This window comes from Homo sapiens, chromosome X, assembly GCF_000001405.40.
Source record: "Homo sapiens chromosome X, GRCh38.p14 Primary Assembly".
Lineage (NCBI taxonomy): Eukaryota > Metazoa > Chordata > Mammalia > Primates > Hominidae > Homo > Homo sapiens.
In genome coordinates, this window is record NC_000023.11 from 105,906,149 (window position 1) to 105,926,725 (window position 20,577).

Sequence of the window (20,577 nt, forward strand, 5' to 3'; positions counted from 1 at the left end):
GGTACATACAGTTAACTCATTGAAACTTCTACTGTAATTTAGATGGAATATGCTATTGACTCTTGCTTCTTTTTCTGAGGTCTAAATGGCCTCACTTTATAACGTATGTTGCCAAACTGCAGGATATTTGGCAATTGAGAAGACAATAATACCTAAAGGCAACTCTCTCCAAATATGATTTTCAGAGAGGCATGTGGGTGGTGGTGGGAAGAGGTCTGACAGGACTGAGAACACTTTTTTTTCCTCTCTTTGACTCATTTTTTAGGTCCCGTAAGTTCCACAATTTCATGGAAAAGTGTACGATAAAAAATTTCCTGTTTCGTCCTACTTCTGCAAACATGCTTCAACACCCATTTGTTCGGGATATAAAAAATGAACGACATGTTGTTGAGTCATTAACAAGGCATCTTACTGGAATCATTAAAAAAAGACAGAAAAAAGGTAGAATCTGTTAAGTTTTATTTTACTGAAATGAATATTCAGAGTTTATTCATGTATTGTTTCCAGGAAAAAGTAATATTTGTTTAAGACTTAGATTGAAAATAAAACTTCTGAGGCCTTTGATATTTAGTTTTGCCAATAATATGCCATGTGCTCTTATTTAATTTTCTCTTGCGTGTGTGTGTGTGTGTGTGTGTGTGTGTGTGTGTGTGTGTGTGTATAGTTACTAATTCTTGCCAGTTACACCTGGCAAATGTTCATATTTATGAAGACCTTGAAAGCATCCAATAAAGTTTTGTGATATGCCAATTTTAAGTAACTAACTAAATAAAATAAATAAAAGATAAAAGGTAACAAAATGTATATCTTGCTTTTTTTTCAGCTGGTATTTTGACTCTACAAGAGATAAATGGATTTGTAATTAACCATTTATTCACTGCTAATTTTGAAGTAGTATTTGTGCACCATACAAAGCTTGTTTTATGTACTAAACTCCAAATATAAAATATAATTAAAGGAACTGATTTATACAAATAAACATAAACTTCTGTCTATTAATAAAAGTGAACTTCTATTAAAAATGGCAGGATTTGCAGTGAGCCAAGATCATGCCACTGCACTCCAGCCCGGGTGACAGAACAAGACGCTGCCTCAAAAAAATAAAAATAAAAGTACCAGGATGGATTTTCACCAAGTCCAGAAGAAGCCCCTGGGAAGTCCTAACTTTATATATTATATTACATATTCCACATTTGATTTTGCGGACCATAGGCAGAGTTGAGAGTAACAATGGAATGTAAAAGGGAAAACTTGAAAAAGCAGGCATCCTCAGATCAGCTGTGGGATTGATTGTAGTGGGGCTTGTTGTATCTATACATGTATCATGTTTTGAGGCAAGGAGCAGCAAGAATTAATTTATTTACCTATGGTAATGAAGTTATTCAGCCAACTTTACAGAGGCCAGCCAGTTTCAAATGGGTTCAGGAAAACCACACATCTATATGGTAATTTGCTAATTTCCAGAATTGCAAAATTTCCAAAATGTTACCTGTAGGAAAAGTTCCATTTATATGGAAGTTACACTAAAGATATAAATATAGTTGCCCTGAACATTTTAATATAGGAAATTCAAAATAAAACTCTTGTTTGTAATCTTCTATATTTCAGTAGTCACAGTACAGCTGATGATAGGAAAGAAGCTGAATGTTTTCAATGTGTTTAGTGTAAAACACAGAATTAAGAATTTGCCTTCTCATTGAAAAGACCAAATATCAACCTCAAGCCATAAAGTCCTTACATCTAGAGCCCACAGCTGTAAGCCATGCTCACCACTATTTAGAGTTTCTCTTGTCTCATTCTCCCTTTGTCCCATTCTCTCTTCTTCCTCTTTAGAATTGCAGAAATCAAGTTGCTAAATTTTCTCTGTTCAGAGAAATTAATCTGCATGCAATAGCTATATTGTGCTGCAAAAGTGGGCCTAGAAACTAGAATATGGTCTACATCACAAACCAAGTACTTTTGAAGGGCTACCTTCTTGCCCTTGTAATTCACTCCACATCCTAAGAAGCAGAGGGAACAAGGTGATTAAGTGGATAACATGCTTATCTGCTGACTGTTTATGCATTATGTTTTTCTCTTTTGTAAAAAAAGGAATACCTTTGATCTTTGAAAGAGAAGAAGCTATTAAGGAACAGTACACCGTGAGAAGATTCAGGTGCGTTCCACAAATTGCATATATAATTTGATGATAGCAATTCACATAAGGCCGTTGATTCCATACTGTTGCCTTTGGTTCAGAAAGACTTAATTCTTTCTGATACAACAAATAACAAATCTCTGTTTTTAAGAGATATTGAGTGAAAATGTGAGAATTCTTTATTACTACCCAAAGACTCCTTAATATCTGGCAAGTGAAGATCAAGTAGATATCATATTTCATTAATAATTGAATACATTAGTAATACAAATGTTACCTGCAGAATATTTCAGACATCAAGGGAATGATTTCAGAAAGGTTTACTGAAGGTATCTTCATTGCAGAAAATGTCCATCTTTTAAAGTAAAAACAATGCCCCTGAATGGCTCCATTCCACTAAAAATTCTAATTGTATGCCAATCATTTGTGTGTTTATTTTAGAGGACCCTCTTGCACTCACGAGCTTCTGAGATTGCCAACCAGCAGCAGATGCAGACCACTTAGAGTCCTGCATGGGGAACCCTCTCAGCCAAGGTGGCTACCTGATCGAGAAGAGCCACAGGTCCAGGCACTTCAGCAGCTACAGGGAGCAGCCAGGGTATTCATGCCACTGCAGGCTCTGGACAGTGCACCTAAGCCTCTAAAGGGGCAGGCTCAGGCACCTCAACGACTACAAGGGGCAGCTCGGGTGTTCATGCCACTACAGGCTCAGGTGAAGGCTAAGGCCTCTAAACCTCTACAAATGCAGATTAAGGCACCTCCACGACTACGGAGGGCAGCCAGGGTGCTCATGCCACTACAGGCACAGGTTAGGGCACCTAGGCTTCTGCAGGTACAGTCCCAGGTATCCAAAAAGCAGCAGGCCCAGACCCAGACATCAGAACCACAAGATTTGGACCAGGTACCAGAGGAATTTCAGGGTCAAGATCAGGTACCCGAACAACAAAGGCAGGGCCAGGCCCCTGAACAACAGCAGAGGCACAACCAGGTGCCTGAACAAGAGCTGGAGCAGAACCAGGCACCTGAACAGCCAGAGGTACAGGAACAGGCTGCCGAGCCTGCACAGGCAGAGACTGAGGCAGAGGAACCTGAGTCATTACGAGTAAATGCCCAGGTATTTCTGCCCCTGCTATCACAAGATCACCATGTGCTGTTGCCACTACATTTGGATACTCAGGTGCTCATTCCAGTAGAGGGGCAAACTGAAGGATCACCTCAGGCACAGGCTTGGACACTAGAACCCCCACAGGCAATTGGCTCAGTTCAAGCACTGATAGAGGGACTATCAAGAGACTTGCTTCGGGCACCAAACTCAAATAACTCAAAGCCACTTGGTCCGTTGCAAACCCTGATGGAAAATCTGTCATCAAATAGGTTTTACTCACAACCAGAACAGGCACGGGAGAAAAAATCAAAAGTTTCTACTCTGAGGCAAGCACTGGCAAAAAGACTATCACCAAAGAGGTTCAGGGCAAAGTCATCATGGAGACCTGAAAAGCTTGAACTCTCGGATTTAGAAGCCCGCAGGCAAAGGCGCCAACGCAGATGGGAAGATATCTTTAATCAGCATGAGGAAGAATTGAGACAAGTTGATAAAGTAAGAATTTTTGATATTTTTACTCTGAGTCAAAAATGAAGAGAAAATGTGATAGCTCATGCGGATGTTTTTTCTCAGTAAAACCAAATGAAATAAATATTCCTTGTGTTCTACAGAAGATATACTAAATAATTTGTACTTCAAATAAATTTTCATGAAATTTCTAGATAATTGTAACTAAATATGATAAAAATATTTTTCAGTATCTCTACTGAAATATAGCTTTAATTATTAGTTTTCTGTCTATTATTCTTTAACCAATAAAGTGTCAACGAATGCACATTAAAAATTACTATTTTGGATCTTTAAAAATTACTTTCATAGCTTAAAATTTCAAAGATAACTCATCAAAAATAAGCACAAAACAAAATTTGCTTTTGTTACTCTAACCTTTAAGTTAGTTTATTCTTTCTTCCAATAGAATGCCAAACTATACTATTTGAGTGAATTACACTCATTTTTGTACTACAGGATGTTTAAATCAAGGTTAAAATGAGAAGGCAAAGCAGTTTCCAAAATATTTGGTATATGGTTACCATATTTATGACTTGTTTCACTAATTTGCTGCCCGTTTTACATAATTAATCAATTATGTGGCCTCACAGAACGTGAAACAATTTACAAATTATTCTCCGTGTTAGAAGACCAACAGGTTCGTATGCCCACTGCATAGTAACAGACCAATTACACATGCATCAAGAATGCAGCAGAAGAGTTTAATGATCAGCAGGGCATGGAGTGAGGAGGTGGGGAGGAGACCCTCAAATCCATCTCCTGGAGGAGTTCTGGGATGGGGTTTTTAAGGGGATTGTAGAGGGTGAGGTGCTGGATAATTGGAGTTGTTGATTGGTCAGGGTAAGGTTGATGGTCCTTGAAATCATCAGGATGTGGAAACTGCATTTTTTGATGAGTCAGCCTCTTGTGGGGTCCTTCAGACCAGTTGGCGTCAGTGGGGTCCTTCAGACCAGTTGATTGACAATAGTTTCACTGGTATGCAAGACCTGAAGAAATATCTCAAAGGAAAAACAACATTTCATAATGTTCAAGTTGTTATCTACAGAGCAGTTAAGGGGAATGATGATGTTGCAACAAGGTCTACGTGAGTCTAGGAAAATAGGCAACAAACATCTATTGAGGAAGGAGGTCAGAGAGCAAGCTGACCTAAAGATTAATGCTAAACGTGCTGCAAGCTTGGTATATTTTTGTTTCTTCCCCTCTCTTCTTCTGTGATTAATTTTATAAGTTAATAAGGGTGGTTTCATCTGTACCCTTTTGAAATGTGGAATACAGTGTGTTAAACTCCATTTTATCTAAGAACAGTCACTAAAACGTAATTGTTTCAAAAATCCTTTAATAAAAAGTGAATATAATTTTACTGGAGTTATTGAATTTAATCTGGTGGATTCTAAACTGATAATGAAGAATTATGGGCTTGATAACAAATTAATGAGGTTAGATAAGGTTAGGGGAGCAGTTGTTTTCTAATACTCCCCACATCCATTTGTGTAAAAGGAATCATTGTGATGATCCTAACTTATACCCTTTTATCCACATCTATTTACCCAATAATAATCATTGTAATAATTACAAATGAATTTTATCTGAGTATCTAGATAAGGAATTCTTTGAGTTTGTGCACATTGAGCCAATTAAACAAATGCTAATTTGTTGACATGTTTAACATGAGAAAAGGTAGGAGCAGCAAGAGAAGCAAGGCCCAAAAGGGAAAATGGATGTCTAGTTCTCAGAGAAAAAGGGAACTATAAGGAGCAAGAAACTAGATGGAGAAAAGGGAGGTTTAAGTCTAGAATGGTGACATTTGGCAAAAACTAGCTCATCTAAAATGCTAATGATTATTCTCGATGAACCCTAGTAATCAATTAGATCTAATGGGTTTTGCATTTATGAATAAGACTTTTATTGATCTCTGAAAGATTCAGTGATACCAGCATGGCACACACTTATTGTCATTTATTGTTTTAAACATATATGTGGAAAGCCATTCTAAAATTTTTAAAAGTCAATAAATAATAGTTACCAATCTCATGACTCTAGGATATTGTACAAGCATTTATATCTTTATATGTGGTCGTTGAAGAAAATATAAAGGAAAAGAAAATTATTGATAATATAGTCAAAGTCACAGATCTTCATGATACCTGAAATTTTATTAGAGTTGAGAGACATAGGTGGGTGCTTTAAGTCACCAGCAGGAAACAAAAAATGCATTTTTATTAATCTTTCAGTTGAAGAGATAATATTGATTGGATTAAAGGGGAAAACAGTTTCCTAAAGTCCTAGATCTCAATTAGGGAGAAATATTTGCACCACTGTATTACAGATCTTCCATTGCTCAGGAAGACCAAACTTTGGTTATAATAGCTTGCTAAATGTGACAGTTAGTTTGGTGTTATGAGTCAATCAAGTTTTAGGCCAGAGATTCTTAACCTGGACCCTGTAGATGAACTTCAGGAGGTCAGCAATCCACCAGAAAATATATGTAATAGGTATGTCTATATGCAATTTTCTGTGGACAGTCTATAGCATTTCTCAGATTCTGAAAGGGATCCAGAACCAAACACTATTAGAAACTACTGGTTTAAATCATTTTTAATATTTGGATATTATTCTTTTAAATTGTGTATTATTTTAAATTATATATTATATAATACATATAAACAATTCAGCATTAAGATGATGAAGTTGTTCCTATCACTTGCATTTTAACAACAATTAAAACAATTACTTTCCTTTTTGTTTCAAAGGACAAAGAAGATGAATCATCAGACAATGATGAAGTATTTCATTCGATTCAGGCTGAAGTCCAGATAGAGCCATTGAAGCCATACATTTCAAATCCTAAAAAAATTGAGGTAAATTTTTCAATATGAGTTGTTGTGACATTAGTAAGAACCCAGAACAGTGGTTCTTAAACTTTTTGGTCTCAGTGTCCCTTTATACTCTTAAACATTGAGGACCTCAAAAAGCTTTCATTTTTTACATGGGTTGTATCATTTGATATTTAATTTATTAAAAGTTAAAACTGAAAAACATTTAAAATATTAGTTCATTTAAAAGGAATGAAACTATTACATGTTAACATAAGAAACACATTTTTAATGAAAAAACTGTATTTTCCCAAAACAAAATTTTAGAGAGATTGACATTGTTTTACTTTTTTGTAAGTCTCTTAAATCTATCTTGCTTAATGAAAAACAGCTGGATTCTCACATCTGCTTCTGCATTCAATCTGTTGCCATGTGTTGTTTTGGTTGAAGTATACGAATAAAAGCTGGCTTCTCACATATAGGTAGTGGGAAAGAGTCAATTTTCATAGATTGCTTAGATAATTGAGTAAATTATTGAATAATGTACCAAAACTAGAGAAGTGGAATCTAAAACCATATCAATGAAATGTTGTATATTCAGTTAATAATAAAACTCATTGATCTATCTTATGCTATGAATAGATGTTTTGCTTATGCATGATTTTTAACTTCATGCATTGATCAGTTGGAAAATACTGGTTCACTTTGTATATAGATCTTCCCAGACATTTACATGTTTCATTATACAATATCAAAAAACAGCATTTGTTAATGTTACCATCAAGTTCATCATAAAAGTTACTGAGTGTTGTTAAATTGTCAAGTGCTTGGTGGGAGATATGTTTGAAAATTCTAATTTTCCTTTGCAAGCTCAAATTTTATCATTGCTAAATTGTGGCATCATTTTTTCCCCTTAAATTGACAGGTTTACTTTATTCATTAAAAATAAAATGTCTACCAAATACCCAGAGTTTAAATAATCATAGTTTGTCAGTCTTTCTTTAAGCAAAAATATTGTACATTAAAAATTCTGGCAGTTTCGTTTTGTAACACAAACACAAATATTTTTCCTTGATTAGCTCTGGTCTGGAATGCAGTTTGTGACAGGGTCTGGGACATTTAATCTATGTTTTGTTTTGTTTTGTTTTACAATTATAAGAATAATTAAGTTAGTCCTAGTGTCCATTTTGACTTCTGTTTTCATGAGTATATTAATAGTATCCTATTTAGAACATATATTGGTGAGGCCGGAGTTGTAGGTTTTCTTGTCTAGAAAAGGTAGCATCATCATCATAGCCAGTATTCCTAATAGCCAGCCATCTAAAACAATCTTTTTGTAGATTGTTTTGAACAATCAAGTAGATTAGGTGAGTGTGTGAAGAACTCAAACTCTTGCCTTATTGATGGTGGGTCAGGAGCCTCATTGTTGCTCCTAATCAGCACAAGATGTTACACAGGAGTCTACTATGAAGTCTTTTATGGACAACTCTCATTTTTAAGTACAATTCCCCTAATACTAACAGTCCTCTGAAGTTAATAACAAAGAGTATTGTTTTATAAGTACTAACCACTGGCAGAAGGTACATAAGCCAGACTGTATTATATAATTAGAAGAGGCAATATGTCTTTTTCTTTGCCTTATTAAATGACTTTACTCAAACTCACAGGTAATAATTATTACCTTAAACCTGACACTTTAAGCAGGAAATGTAATGAGCTGTGTCTGATTTGAAATACATCATTATCTTAGTATATGCTATTCTTACTAATCATTTTCTTCTCCCCAGTTTTGAAATTAAATACAGCCAATTTATATTAGGAATTATATTTTTTATTTTTGGCCGTTACCTATTTTGAGTAATTTTTGCCTCCAGTAGTGACAATAAACTTCCTAAGATCAGCTTCATAAGCCAAAAGTCCCCGACTGGGTCATATGATACCAATTATATGAAATGAAAGTGGAAAAAAATAGGCAGATACTTACCCTCACCTACTTGTCTCTCGGAGTGTAGAGAGAGCCTTGATAAGCCACTTCATAAAGAAAAAATAGTTTACTAAGGCTACTCTAGTTTCTAGAAAGTATAGAATGAGTTTATCAGCATGCATATGCTAGATTAAAAAAGTAACACTCTTAAATTTCCTTTTTAAAGAATCTAGTATGACTGCCTTATTGCATGTCAGAATGACCTATGTTTTGGGCAGCTAAAACTTCTTTGAGTAGAAACCTGGTGATACAAGTCTTAGTGAGGCAAGGCAACATTCCCTGGCCCTGTCTACCAATGTTGGCAGAAAGTAAAATTCCCCCATTGGTGGAAGCTGGCTTATTATATGCACCCTTTCTTGAGTATTTGGCTATATTCAATGATTGTATGATTAGTAAAATGCAAATTAATCTATTTAGAGTTGAAACAGTACTTGGAACACTAATTATGATAGTACAGTCAAATTGTAAAGCAGAAAAACATACTTTCTTACTTTCTTAAAGATGGGACACTTTTGACTAGAGAGATTTTAATGAAATGTATGTATGTGTGTGTGACAACTTTTGAAAATCTAGGGTTAGCTTAAAAGGATGAGTGTATAAGAATTAGAACTTAAATTCTGAGTAAGAAGTTTAAACTTGATATAAAAAGCAATGTGATAACATGGAAAGAACATTAAATTAGAAGTTGGGAGACCTGCATTCTGATTTTAGACGTTCCTTTCACTTGACATAAAATTCTTAGAAAAGTCATTTTCCCTCTTTAGGCTACAGATTCCTCAACAATAAATTAAGATTTTGATTATATGAGCTCCAGAATCTGTTCCTATACTAAAGATCAAATATACCATCAGAAATTATGGTTAAGCAAGTCTAATGTTGTAAGTCATTATGAAATAGAATCTGTTTATTAAAATCATATTTTATAAGTTAGATTTTAGGAAAATATATATGAAGACAGGCATTTTCCCACAAATTAAGAGCTCAGTACAATTTATGATCAAGAATTCTACTGAAGTATTGCATTGTGTCTTTAAGGTTCAAGAGAGATCTCCTTCTGTGCCTAACAACCAGGATCATGCACATCATGTCAAGTTCTCTTCAAGGTATGTGTCTTTGATTTCTATATTAAAATTATTCATAATTATCAAATGGAAAATTAAAAATTATTTCATTGATAATACACTTTGTGAAGTCAACTAAAATATCCGTGACAACATCATCACCATTGACTTTATTGGCCCACATTGAAAACCTTAACTGCAATGATCCATTACCTATATCTTTCATATTTGGTCATACTGCAGTCTCTGTGATATTTAGTTTGCTAAATAGATGGCAAGGTTCACAATTTTAAAAAGAAACAATAATAACAAATACTTTGACAGTATTCAATTAGTAGTCGATGATAAAAAGACATGAAATTTCAAGTGAATTTTCACACATGTGCTGCATGATAAAACACACACACCAATTGTCTTTAACTTCAGAAGCTAATGCCACAGAATGGGTAAGCCTAAAAATGTCCTATAGTCAAAATCAAATCTAAAACTCAATATTATATAAATAAAATATCATATATAATATTGATACCAGTCACTGTATTTTTTAATCTTTGTAATATTGGTGATCTTCAATAATTTTCAAAGATCACGTTCCATATGTCAGATATTGTGTGCATTCTGTTATATTTGAAAACTAAATTTTAAGGTAGATTTTTTTAAGAAAATCTCACCCCCTCCAGCCCCAACTCACAATAGAGAGAACTTAGCCTATATTGATTCATTTAGTCAGTAAATATTTATTGAACACTCACTATATTCAAGATATTGGACAGTATGGCCAGATGGCGTACAGTTAATGTTATGTAGTATATATTTTCTTGCTTCATTACTTTAAAAAACCCATACAATTATGTCTTCAGATTTAACTGGAGTGCAGAAATCTTGAAAAATTGTAAAGCAAGACTGCGAACTTTCTTTTTCTCTGCACTCAATGAATGGATTGTCATGGTCGAACTGACCTCAAAGGAAAGAAACCAGTTTAGTTTTGAGTAGTTGGTTTTGGTATCATGGAACATGACTTTAATAAAATCCAATATATAAAATCCATACTTGGTGTTAAACTCAGAGTAATTGTTCACTTTACAAAAGGATTTTGAATTTATGAATAACAAATACGTTGCCTTTAAATATAGTTAAATTTAAAAAGTTAACTTAAATGAAACTCAAATCTTTCCGGAAATTTGGGGCCATGGAAAAAAGTTTGTCTATTCCAGACCTAAATCAATAACCAAAGTCCTTCCCATATAGAAATACCAAAATAACTGTAAAATTTAGCAGCATTAGTCCAAAGAAACTCTCTAAATATTCTTTAAATTTGAATAGTAAGAACGAAAGTGCTCTATTTTTCTGTCAGTGTAGCTATCTAAATCCGGAATGGGACGTTAAAAACATTAATTTCAAGCATTTAAAATCTGGATAATAACAATAGAATATATGACATAACAGTAACTTGTTTATTATGTTAAAATACTCACATACACTATAAGGTTATGTTTATTGCTGTGTTACTCAGGTAAAATATTGTCTGAATGTTAGCTTTAAAAGCTTATAGAAATTTTTAGAAATTAATATATATATAAAGGAAACATATACTCTATGAAAACATATTTTTCTTATTTTGGAAATCGTTACTCTATTCTAGACAAAATAGCAAGTTTGGGGGAGAATGGAAACTGGAAATTATTACTCAAGTTATACTTCTTTTTCAGTTTGATATGTACCCATATATTTAAACAAAACTTTGTGTTGGACTTTATGTTGAGTTGTACATTCCCTTTATGAATGTTAGGACATGGCACATGCTTTTCTGTCTTTTCATTAGCGTTCCTCAGCGGTCTCTTTTGGAACAAGCTCAGAAGCCCATTGACATCAGACAAAGGAGTTCGCAAAATCGTCAAAATTGGCTGGCAGCATCAGGTGATTCAAAGCACAAAATTTTAGCAGGCAAAACACAGAGCTACTGTTTAACAATTTATATTTCAGAAGTCAAGAAAGAAGAATTTCAAGAAGGAATGAATCAAAAGTGTCAGGGAGCCCAAGTAGGATTAGGACCTGAAGGCCATTGTATTTGGCAATTGGGTGGTCAGTGGTGGCCTTTGAGAAATGGAAAATAATTTTTCTGAATTTTCTTCTTTTTGTTGGGTAGTAGTTAGGAATGTGTCTAAGAAGGCGGGGGGAGTCAGCTTTATTAGGTTTCTATACCACGTAAGAAAAGTATGGTAAAGAAACTTGAGAGAGACCTCTCCAGCAGGCTAAAATTTATAGGTAGCAATTAGAATATTGTATGGAGGAGTTGTGAGTGTGTGTTTCATTTATCAGTTGGTTACTTCACCTCTCCAAAATAGGACAATATCTGATAAATATCCCTAAATGTTACAGAGTGATGGTTTTACTCAAAATACATGAACAATTAATCTATCAAATCATAGAAAATAACTTCAAAAGTTGTGATGTGAATTTCAAAAAAGTATTTTAAGATGTGCTTTTGAGAGAGTTTAAATGAATTATAGATTTATGAAATATTAGGATAAACAAAGCCAAAAGTTGTGCCATGGATCATGCAATCTGGCATTATCCAGTTTTAAGCAATCCAGGTAAGTTAAGCAAGGGAAAAATGGCTGATTGAGTTGCTGATATGTAAAAATATAGTATACTGATTTTATTAAAATGTTAATAATAAAAATGATACAGATGTACTTCACTTTTTGAAAAGTGAATATTTGAAGATCAAAACTTAAAACACATTATTCTTCTTAAGTGACTCAGATTATGGCAGAGTTCTTTTAAATAGCACTGTCTCCTCATACACAAATACTATGTTGTGAAAATTAGATAAGCCTGAGTGAAAAGCAAATTTTTAAAAATTTTTTCCCAGAGTCTTTTCTTTCTGGCTTGACTATGGCTAATTTTGCTAATACAGGGCAAACAACTAAAAATTTAAGGTTTATTCATGTGGCATCTTTGAAATAAGGAAATTCTGGATTAGATCCCAAAGCAGTCATAGCATTGATAGAAGGGAGAAGGCATCTGTGCAGATAATAGCTAAATGTCTTTTCAGCTCCAAATTTCTTTTATTTTATTGTTTATGCTACATAGACCATTTGATATTCTCATGAAATTATATGCTTCATTATGGAGGAAATCTCAGAGCACCTTACTATAAATTTGTCTCAGAATCTTAGTGCACTCACTTGAACTTATTTGGTCTACTAACATACCAAAAGACTTAAAAGAAAATGGTTTCCTGAAAAAAAAAAAAAAAAAAAAAAGCACAAGTACAACAGTGTCAGAAGATGGGGACACAAATTTTAGCATGTGTTCAGTGTAATGTTCTCAAAGGACAGCAGTATTTGCAAATATATGTCTTTTGGAGTTGGAGTATCTATACTTTGGCTATGTATACCAAGACTGAAAATAAGAGGGACAATAGTATTTATCTTGAAAATCTAAGCACACAAAAACATTAAACAGGGACCTGAGTTTTCTCTTAGTGAAGCTTTTTCTAAGTACACTCACCCAGACCTGAATTTTGAGCCTGTTAAATATTCTCACCAGATTTTAATCACAGGGGTTATTTACCATACCACAACTCAATATTAAAACCTAATCTCCAAACCAGATACATTTGTATTTTAAATGGAAATATTTACACTATAGAATTGAGCTGTTCAATGTGGTAGCAACTAGCCTCATGTAGCTATTAAAATAAAAAGTAAAATGAAAATTAAATAAAATTTAAAAGTCACTTTCTCAGGCACACTGGCCACATTTCAAATGCTCAGTAGTCATGGGTGACTAATGACCACTGTTAATGGACAGTTCAGATACAGAAGATTTCTATCACTGCAGAAAGTTTTGTTGTACATTGCTGCTATAAAAAGGTTCCCAGCTTTATAGAAACGGGTGTTATCTCTTTTCAGTAGTTCACTCCTCAACTGTATTGAACTACATCTGGATATATCATTGGGTGGAAATATGTGGGGGTTAAGATTGAAGAATGTAAATTTGTTTGAGTTCATTGTAGATTCTGGATATTAGCCCTTTGTCAGATGAGTAGGTTGCGAAAATTTTCTCCCATTTTGTAGGTTGCCTATTCGCTCTGATGGTAGTTTCTTTTGCTGTGCAGAAGCTCTTTAGTTTAATTAGATCCCATTTGTCAATTTTGTCTTTTGTTGCCATTGCTTTTGGTGTTTTAGACATGAAGTCCTTGCCCATGCCTATGTCCTGAATGGTAATGCCTAGGTTTTCTTCTAGGGTTTTTATGGTTTTAGGTCTAACGTTTAAGTCTTTAATCCATCTTGAATTGATTTTTGTATAAGGTGAAAGGAAGGGATCCAGTTTCAGCTTTCTACATATGGCTAGCCAGTTTTCCCAGCACCATTTATTAAATAGGGAATCCTTTCCCCATTGCTTGTTTTTCTCAGGTTTGTCAAAGATCAGATAGTTGTAGACATGCGGCGTTATTTCTGAGGGCTCTGTTCTGTTCCATTGATCTATATCTCTGTTTTGGTACCAGTACCATGCTGTTTTGGTTACTGTAGCCTTGTAATATAGTTTGAAGTGAGGTAGTGTGATGCCTCCAGCTTTGTTCTTTTGGCTTAGGATTGACTTGGCGATGCGGGCTCTTTTTTGGTTCCATATGAACTTTAAAGTAGTTTTTTCCAATTCTGTGAAGAAAGGCATTGGTAGCTTGATGGGGATGGCATTGAATCTGTAAATTACCTTGGGCAGTATGGCCATTTTCACGATATTGATTCTTCCTAGCCATGAGCATGGAATGTTCTTCCATTTGTTTGTATCCTCTTTTATTTCCTTGAGCAGTGGTTTGTAGTTCTCCTTGAAGAGGTCCTTCACATCCCTTGTAAGTTGGATTTACAAGATAAAAACAAACAACCCCATCAAAAAGTGGGCGAAGGACATGAACAGACACTTCTCAAAAGAAGACATTTATGCAGCCAAAAAACACATGAAAAAATGCTCATCGTCACTGGCCATCAGAGAAATGCAAATCAAAACCACAATGAGATACCATCTCACACCAGTTAGAATGGCAATCACTAAAAAGTCAGGAAACAACAGGTGCTGGAGAGGATGTGGAGAAATAGGAACACTTTTACACTGTTGGTGGGACTGTAAACTAGTTCAACCATTGTGGAAGTCAGTGTGGCGATTCCTCAGGGATCTAGAACTGGAAATACCATTTGACCCAGCCATCCCATTACTGGGTATATACCCAAAGGACTATAAATCATGCTGCTATAAAGACACATGCACACGTATGTTTATTGCGGCATTATTCACAATAGCAAAGACTTGGAACCAACCCAAATGTCCAACAATGATAGACTGGATTAAGAAAATGTGGCACATATACACCATGGAATACTATGCAGCCATAAAAAATGATGAGTTCATGTCCTTTTTAGGGACGTGGATGAAATTGGAAATCATCATTCTCAGTAAACTATCACAAGAACAAAAAACCAAACACCGCATATTCTCACTCATAGGTGGGAATTGAACAATGAGATCACATGGACACAGGAAGGGGAATATCACACTCTGGGGACTGTTGTGGGGTGGGGGGAGTGGGGAGGGGTAGCATTGGGAGATATACCTAATACTAGATGACGAGTTAGTGGGTGCAGTGCACCAGCATGGCACATGTATACATATGTAACTAACCTGCACAATGTGCACATGTACCCTAAAACTTAAAGTATAATTAAAAAAAAAAAAGATTGAAGAATGAACTCTCCTCTTGAGGGTTTTGGCTAGTCTATCATCTTCTAATAAATACACTGTCGGGCTTTTTTTTCTACTGGTCAGTATGTGAGGCCAGTGGTACTCCCAGTCCTTCCTACTCTTGATACATTTTTTTAAATGTATCTACCTGGCTATCAGTTGGACTATGTATCTTCTTACATAGATAGAGATATTTGGTAAGTGTACACTTAATATTGAAAACAGAGCAGCCATGTAAGTCTACAGATGGAAGAAAACTTGAACCCCTGCTAATACCCCTGAAAAGAGAATTTAAGATCCTGGCCCCATGAGAATTTTCAGGTGATACTTCCTGAATGGAATCATAAAAATGACCAAGAAAAAAAAAAAGAAAAAAAACCAAGGGATTTAACTGATACACTATACATATGAAGGCAATGGCTGTAATCACCATTGTTACTAATGTGTTTTTGGCATTCCATAGAATCTTCTTCTGAGGAAGAAAGTCCTGTGACTGGAAGGAGGTCTCAGTCATCACCACCTTATTCTACTATTGATCAGAAGTTGCTGGTTGACATCCATGTAAGTTTCCATCTTAACACATTAATGTCTATTATTTTTTATTTTCCATTTATTTTGACTTACACATTCTCATATTCACTTGAGGGAAAGGTTAAAGAGTTTAGTTTTTTAATTAACATTTTAAGGATAGATTCTCATTGCTTTGTGAATACATAGAACACAAAATCTAGAAATTAAAATTGAAATGGGAAAACATTTAATCAATCAGAGAATATTTTATTTTCACATTCTTGTGTCAGTTAGAACATGTCTGGGAGAGTAGTGATAACAAGCTGTTTGTAAAACCTAATCTCAGATTGAGGGGTACAGGTTAGATGTCCAACTTTTAATAGCATTCCTTGAGTGATGAGGCAATGCATAAATATAAAACATTTAGTAAAAAACAGAGTGTCCTCTGACTGCATAAATAAAAAGTCTTCCAGCTCTTTGTGAACATGTTTAAATTGTTCTAATGCAGATTTTAAATTGTCCTAATGCAATGTGCTTTCAGATTATTCTATTTCAATTTTGAATTACCTCTATGCTACCGTACACACATCCCTTCCAGATTGCCCAAAAGTTGTTAAATGATACATACCATACTTAAAAGATGGATTTAGATTAATTTGCACTTTGGAAGTGTTTGAGATACTTTAAGACAACCCATGGCACGTAAAACCTGAGCTGGTAAATTAACATATCAATTTCAAGAGCTGTGTGTTAATCCCAATGTCAGGGGATAAAACAAAAGGGAAAAGTTACCATTTTTAAGGAGCATCAAATCTCCTGTTCTCTCCAGCATCAAAAGCAAGTGTCCATTCCTGAGCTGACAAGTATGGGTATTTTTTTTAAGTGAGTAAATTTTGCCCTATGTGATCCAGAAAGGCCACTAATAATCACAGTCTGATGTTTGGGTTTTGACATCTCATCCTCACTAAAATTTTGGCTCCATCTAATGAGTGAACATCCTTGTTTCAGTTTAAAATATATTTCAAAATGTTGTCAGCTTGGAAACTTTCCAATCTAGAAGAAAATGAAAGCTACTAGAGGCTACATTAACCTTTCTTGTGCACACAGGTTCCAGATGGATTTAAAGTAGGAAAAATATCACCCCCTGTATACTTGACAAACGAATGGGTAGGCTATAATGCACTCTCTGAAATCTTCCGGAATGATTGGTTAACTCCGGCACCTGTCATTCAGCCACCTGAAGAGGATGGTGATTATGTTGAACTCTATGATGCCAGTGCTGATACTGATGGTGATGATGATGATGAGTCTAATGATACTTTTGAAGATACCTATGATCATGCCAATGGCAATGATGACTTGGATAACCAGGTTGATCAGGCTAATGATGTTTGTAAAGACCATGATGATGACAACAATAAGTTTGTTGATGATGTAAATAATAATTATTATGAGGCGCCTAGTTGTCCAAGGTTGGTTTTTTTGAATTACTTATACTCTCCATGTTTTATGACTGCAGAGCTATTTGCATTTTTGGTTTATTTTCAAAATTTATTACCAAGAGAGTGACCTAATTTCACTTGCATTTTAGTAAATAGTTTGATTGTCAATAATGTATTTTAAATTGTTCTAATGCAGAACATCTAATTTTGTGTCATTTGTGTATTTTAAAATAAGCATTCAAGTATTTATTAGTTTCTTTATAACTGGAATTGTCTAGATGCTTATGTTAAAATTACTGCCACTGAATCATCCTACTCTATAAAACTATACTGAGTATGAGAAAGGACAACAAAGAAAGTGTGTAACTTAACAAGCATAAGATGAAGTCTTGGTATTTGCAAACATAGCTATTCATTTCTCAAACTTTTGTGATATCACTATATATATATATATATATATATATATATATATATGTGAAATTTAAGATGATCTTTATCTGTTTAATTGGTGGAGAAATTACCAAGAGCTCTTTTAATTTTTTCCAACCAAAAAAGTCTATCAAGAATTCCATTATGAAATAAATTTACTTTTAGAATTACCACAGGCACGTATGTTTAATTTTGTTTCCTATGCAAAAAGAGAGCATTGGCACATTTTGTTAAGCTTAGTATTTTTAGCAATTAATTAAATAACTTAGTTCCACAAGACATGAGGTATGTATTGCTGAACTTCCTTGGTGGGAGTAGTAGACCAATGGAGTTCTATAGCAAAGCAGTCAGTACACATGTTAGAAAATCAAGGCACATGTTGAAATGAACACAAACTAGATATACTGCAAGAAGAATTAATCATGTTGTGGTTGAGCTAAAACATAGGCTTAATCATTCATGTGTCTGTGAAGTTGCTAATGCATGAAATAGTATATATTTAAGAAAAAAACTACATATTCTTGCTGTTAACCTAATACACGCACCTAACAAAGAATACAAGTTCTCTTCCCTCTGCCATCCAAATGCATCTGAGAAATTGGTGGTGGCTATGGCTTTAATCATTACATAAGACTGAGAAGACATAGGGGCATTTTTATGTTCTTTATCATACCAGTAGTGTTCACATAGAACAAAGACAAGCCTGGGCATGGTAGATATGTATAAGACACATCCTAATTCTGTTGTACTTGCTAACTTTCAAATGTGTTTTTATTGCGTGACTTTCTTTCATTAATTGGAGCTTGTTGTCAGGGCAAGCTATGGCAGAGATGGAAGCTGCAAGCAAGATGGTTATGATGGAAGTCGTGGAAAAGAGGAAGCCTACAGAGGCTATGGAAGCCATACAGCCAATAGAAGCCATGGAGGAAGTGCAGCCAGTGAGGACAATGCAGCCATTGGAGATCAGGAAGAACATGCAGCCAATATAGGCAGTGAAAGAAGAGGCAGTGAGGGTGATGGAGGTAAGGGAGTCGTTCGAACCAGTGAAGAGAGTGGAGCCCTTGGACTCAATGGAGAAGAAAATTGCTCAGAGACAGATGGTCCAGGATTGAAGAGACCTGCGTCTCAGGACTTTGAATATCTACAGGAGGTAATGCACCATTTGAAAAGCAGATTGAACTCCTCTCATTGCGAATGTGTTTCTTCATGGGACATGTAGCATTTCTAGCCATTCCAAATAGATTTTCATCATATACCCCAAGGCCTTAAACATTTTTAATTATAGGTTTGTAGGTGGATCCTTATTACCTCTAATTTGGGTGGTTCCTATTTACTTCCAAAGACAAAAATCTCTTATTTGTTTGCCTTTATTACTCAGATCACATATTTGAGGTAGTGTCTCTTGACACACACTTTTTAAAAATATTTTAAAAAATTAATTGACACCTAATAATTGTATATATTTATGGGGTACAGAGTGATATTTTAATATATACAATTTGTAATGATGACATCAGGGTATTTAGCATGTCTATCACCTCAAACATTCATCATTTTTTTTGTGTGTTGGGAACAATCAATATCCTCTCTCCTAGCTATTTGAAAATATGTAATGAATTATTGTTAATTATAGTTACCCTATAGTGCTATAGAATATTAGAACTTATATCTCCTATCTAGTCATGCATTTGGATCCTTTAACCAGCCTTTCTCTATCACTCTCCCGTACTCCTCTTCCCAGCCTCTAGAAACGACTATTTACTCTCTAGTTACTTGAGACCAATTTTTTAGCATTTGCATATGAGTAAGAACATGTGGTTTTTATCTTTCTGTTCCTGGTTTATTTCACTTAACATTGAGTCCAGGTTCATCCATGTTGCTGCAAATCACAAGATTTCATTCTTTTTTATGGCTAAATAGCATTTATTTCTGTATATATGTCATGTTTTCTTTATCAATTCATCTCTTGATGGATGCTTAGGCTGATGCCTTATTTTGGCTATTGTGATTAGTACTGCAGTAAATATGGAGGTGCTGATAGCTCTTTGATACACTGATTTCCTCTTTTTTTGAGATATGTACCTAGTAGTGGAATTATTGGATCATATGGTAGTTCTATTTGTAGTTTTATAAGGAACCACAATACCATTCTCCATTGTGGGTGTAGTAGTTTACATTCCCACCAACGGTATATAAAAGTTCCCTTTTCTCCACATCTTCACCAACATTAATTTTTTATGTTTTGATAATAACCATTCTAACTAGGATGAGATAATATCTCATTGTGGTTCTGATTTGCATTTTCCCGATGATTAATTATGTTGAAATTTTTTTTCATCTATCTGTTGGTTATTTCTAAGTCTTTTGAGAAATGTCTATTCAAATCATTTGTCCATTTTGTTTATTATACTTTAAGTTCTAGGGTACATGTGCACAACGTGCAGGTTTGTTACATATGTATACATGTTGGATTATTTGCTTTTTTCTGTTGAGTTGTTTGAGTTTCTTACATTCAGGATTTTAATCCCTTGTTGGACGAAGAGTTTGCAGATATTTTCTCTCATTCTTCAGGTTGTTTCTTCACTTTGTTGATCATTTCCTTTTCTGTGCAGAAGATTTTTAGTGTGATATAATTCTATTTGTCTATTTTTGCTTTTGTTGCCTGTGCTTTGGTCCTATTCTTTTTTCCCAAACCAATGTCCACAAGCATTTTCTTATATTTTCTAGTAGTTTTATGGTTTCAGATCTTACATTTAAGTCTCTAATCTATTTTGAGTTGATTTTTTTATAAGGTGAGAAATAGGGGTCTAATTTCAGTCTTTTGCATATGGATATTTAGTTCTC

At 34.5% G+C, this 20,577-nt stretch overlaps 1 protein-coding gene across 5 annotated transcripts in view; it reads left to right on the top strand.

Annotated features, from left to right (window-relative positions):
* Window positions 1-20,577, top strand: part of NRK (Nik related kinase) — a 136,825-nt gene that overhangs the window by 84,363 nt on the left and 31,885 nt on the right. For all 5 annotated transcript variants that reach the window (XM_011530887.4, NM_198465.4, XM_006724632.4 and 2 more), the window contains exons 11-19: window positions 266-441; window positions 2,092-2,155; window positions 2,579-3,734; window positions 6,500-6,607; window positions 9,582-9,649; window positions 11,430-11,524; window positions 15,816-15,913; window positions 16,970-17,334; window positions 18,547-18,883. In XM_011530887.4, coding sequence (XP_011529189.1) covers window positions 266-441; window positions 2,092-2,155; window positions 2,579-3,734; window positions 6,500-6,607; window positions 9,582-9,649; window positions 11,430-11,524; window positions 15,816-15,913; window positions 16,970-17,334; window positions 18,547-18,883 — 2,467 coding nt within the window. The remainder of the gene's footprint in view (window positions 1-265; window positions 442-2,091; window positions 2,156-2,578; window positions 3,735-6,499; window positions 6,608-9,581; window positions 9,650-11,429; window positions 11,525-15,815; window positions 15,914-16,969; window positions 17,335-18,546; window positions 18,884-20,577) is intronic.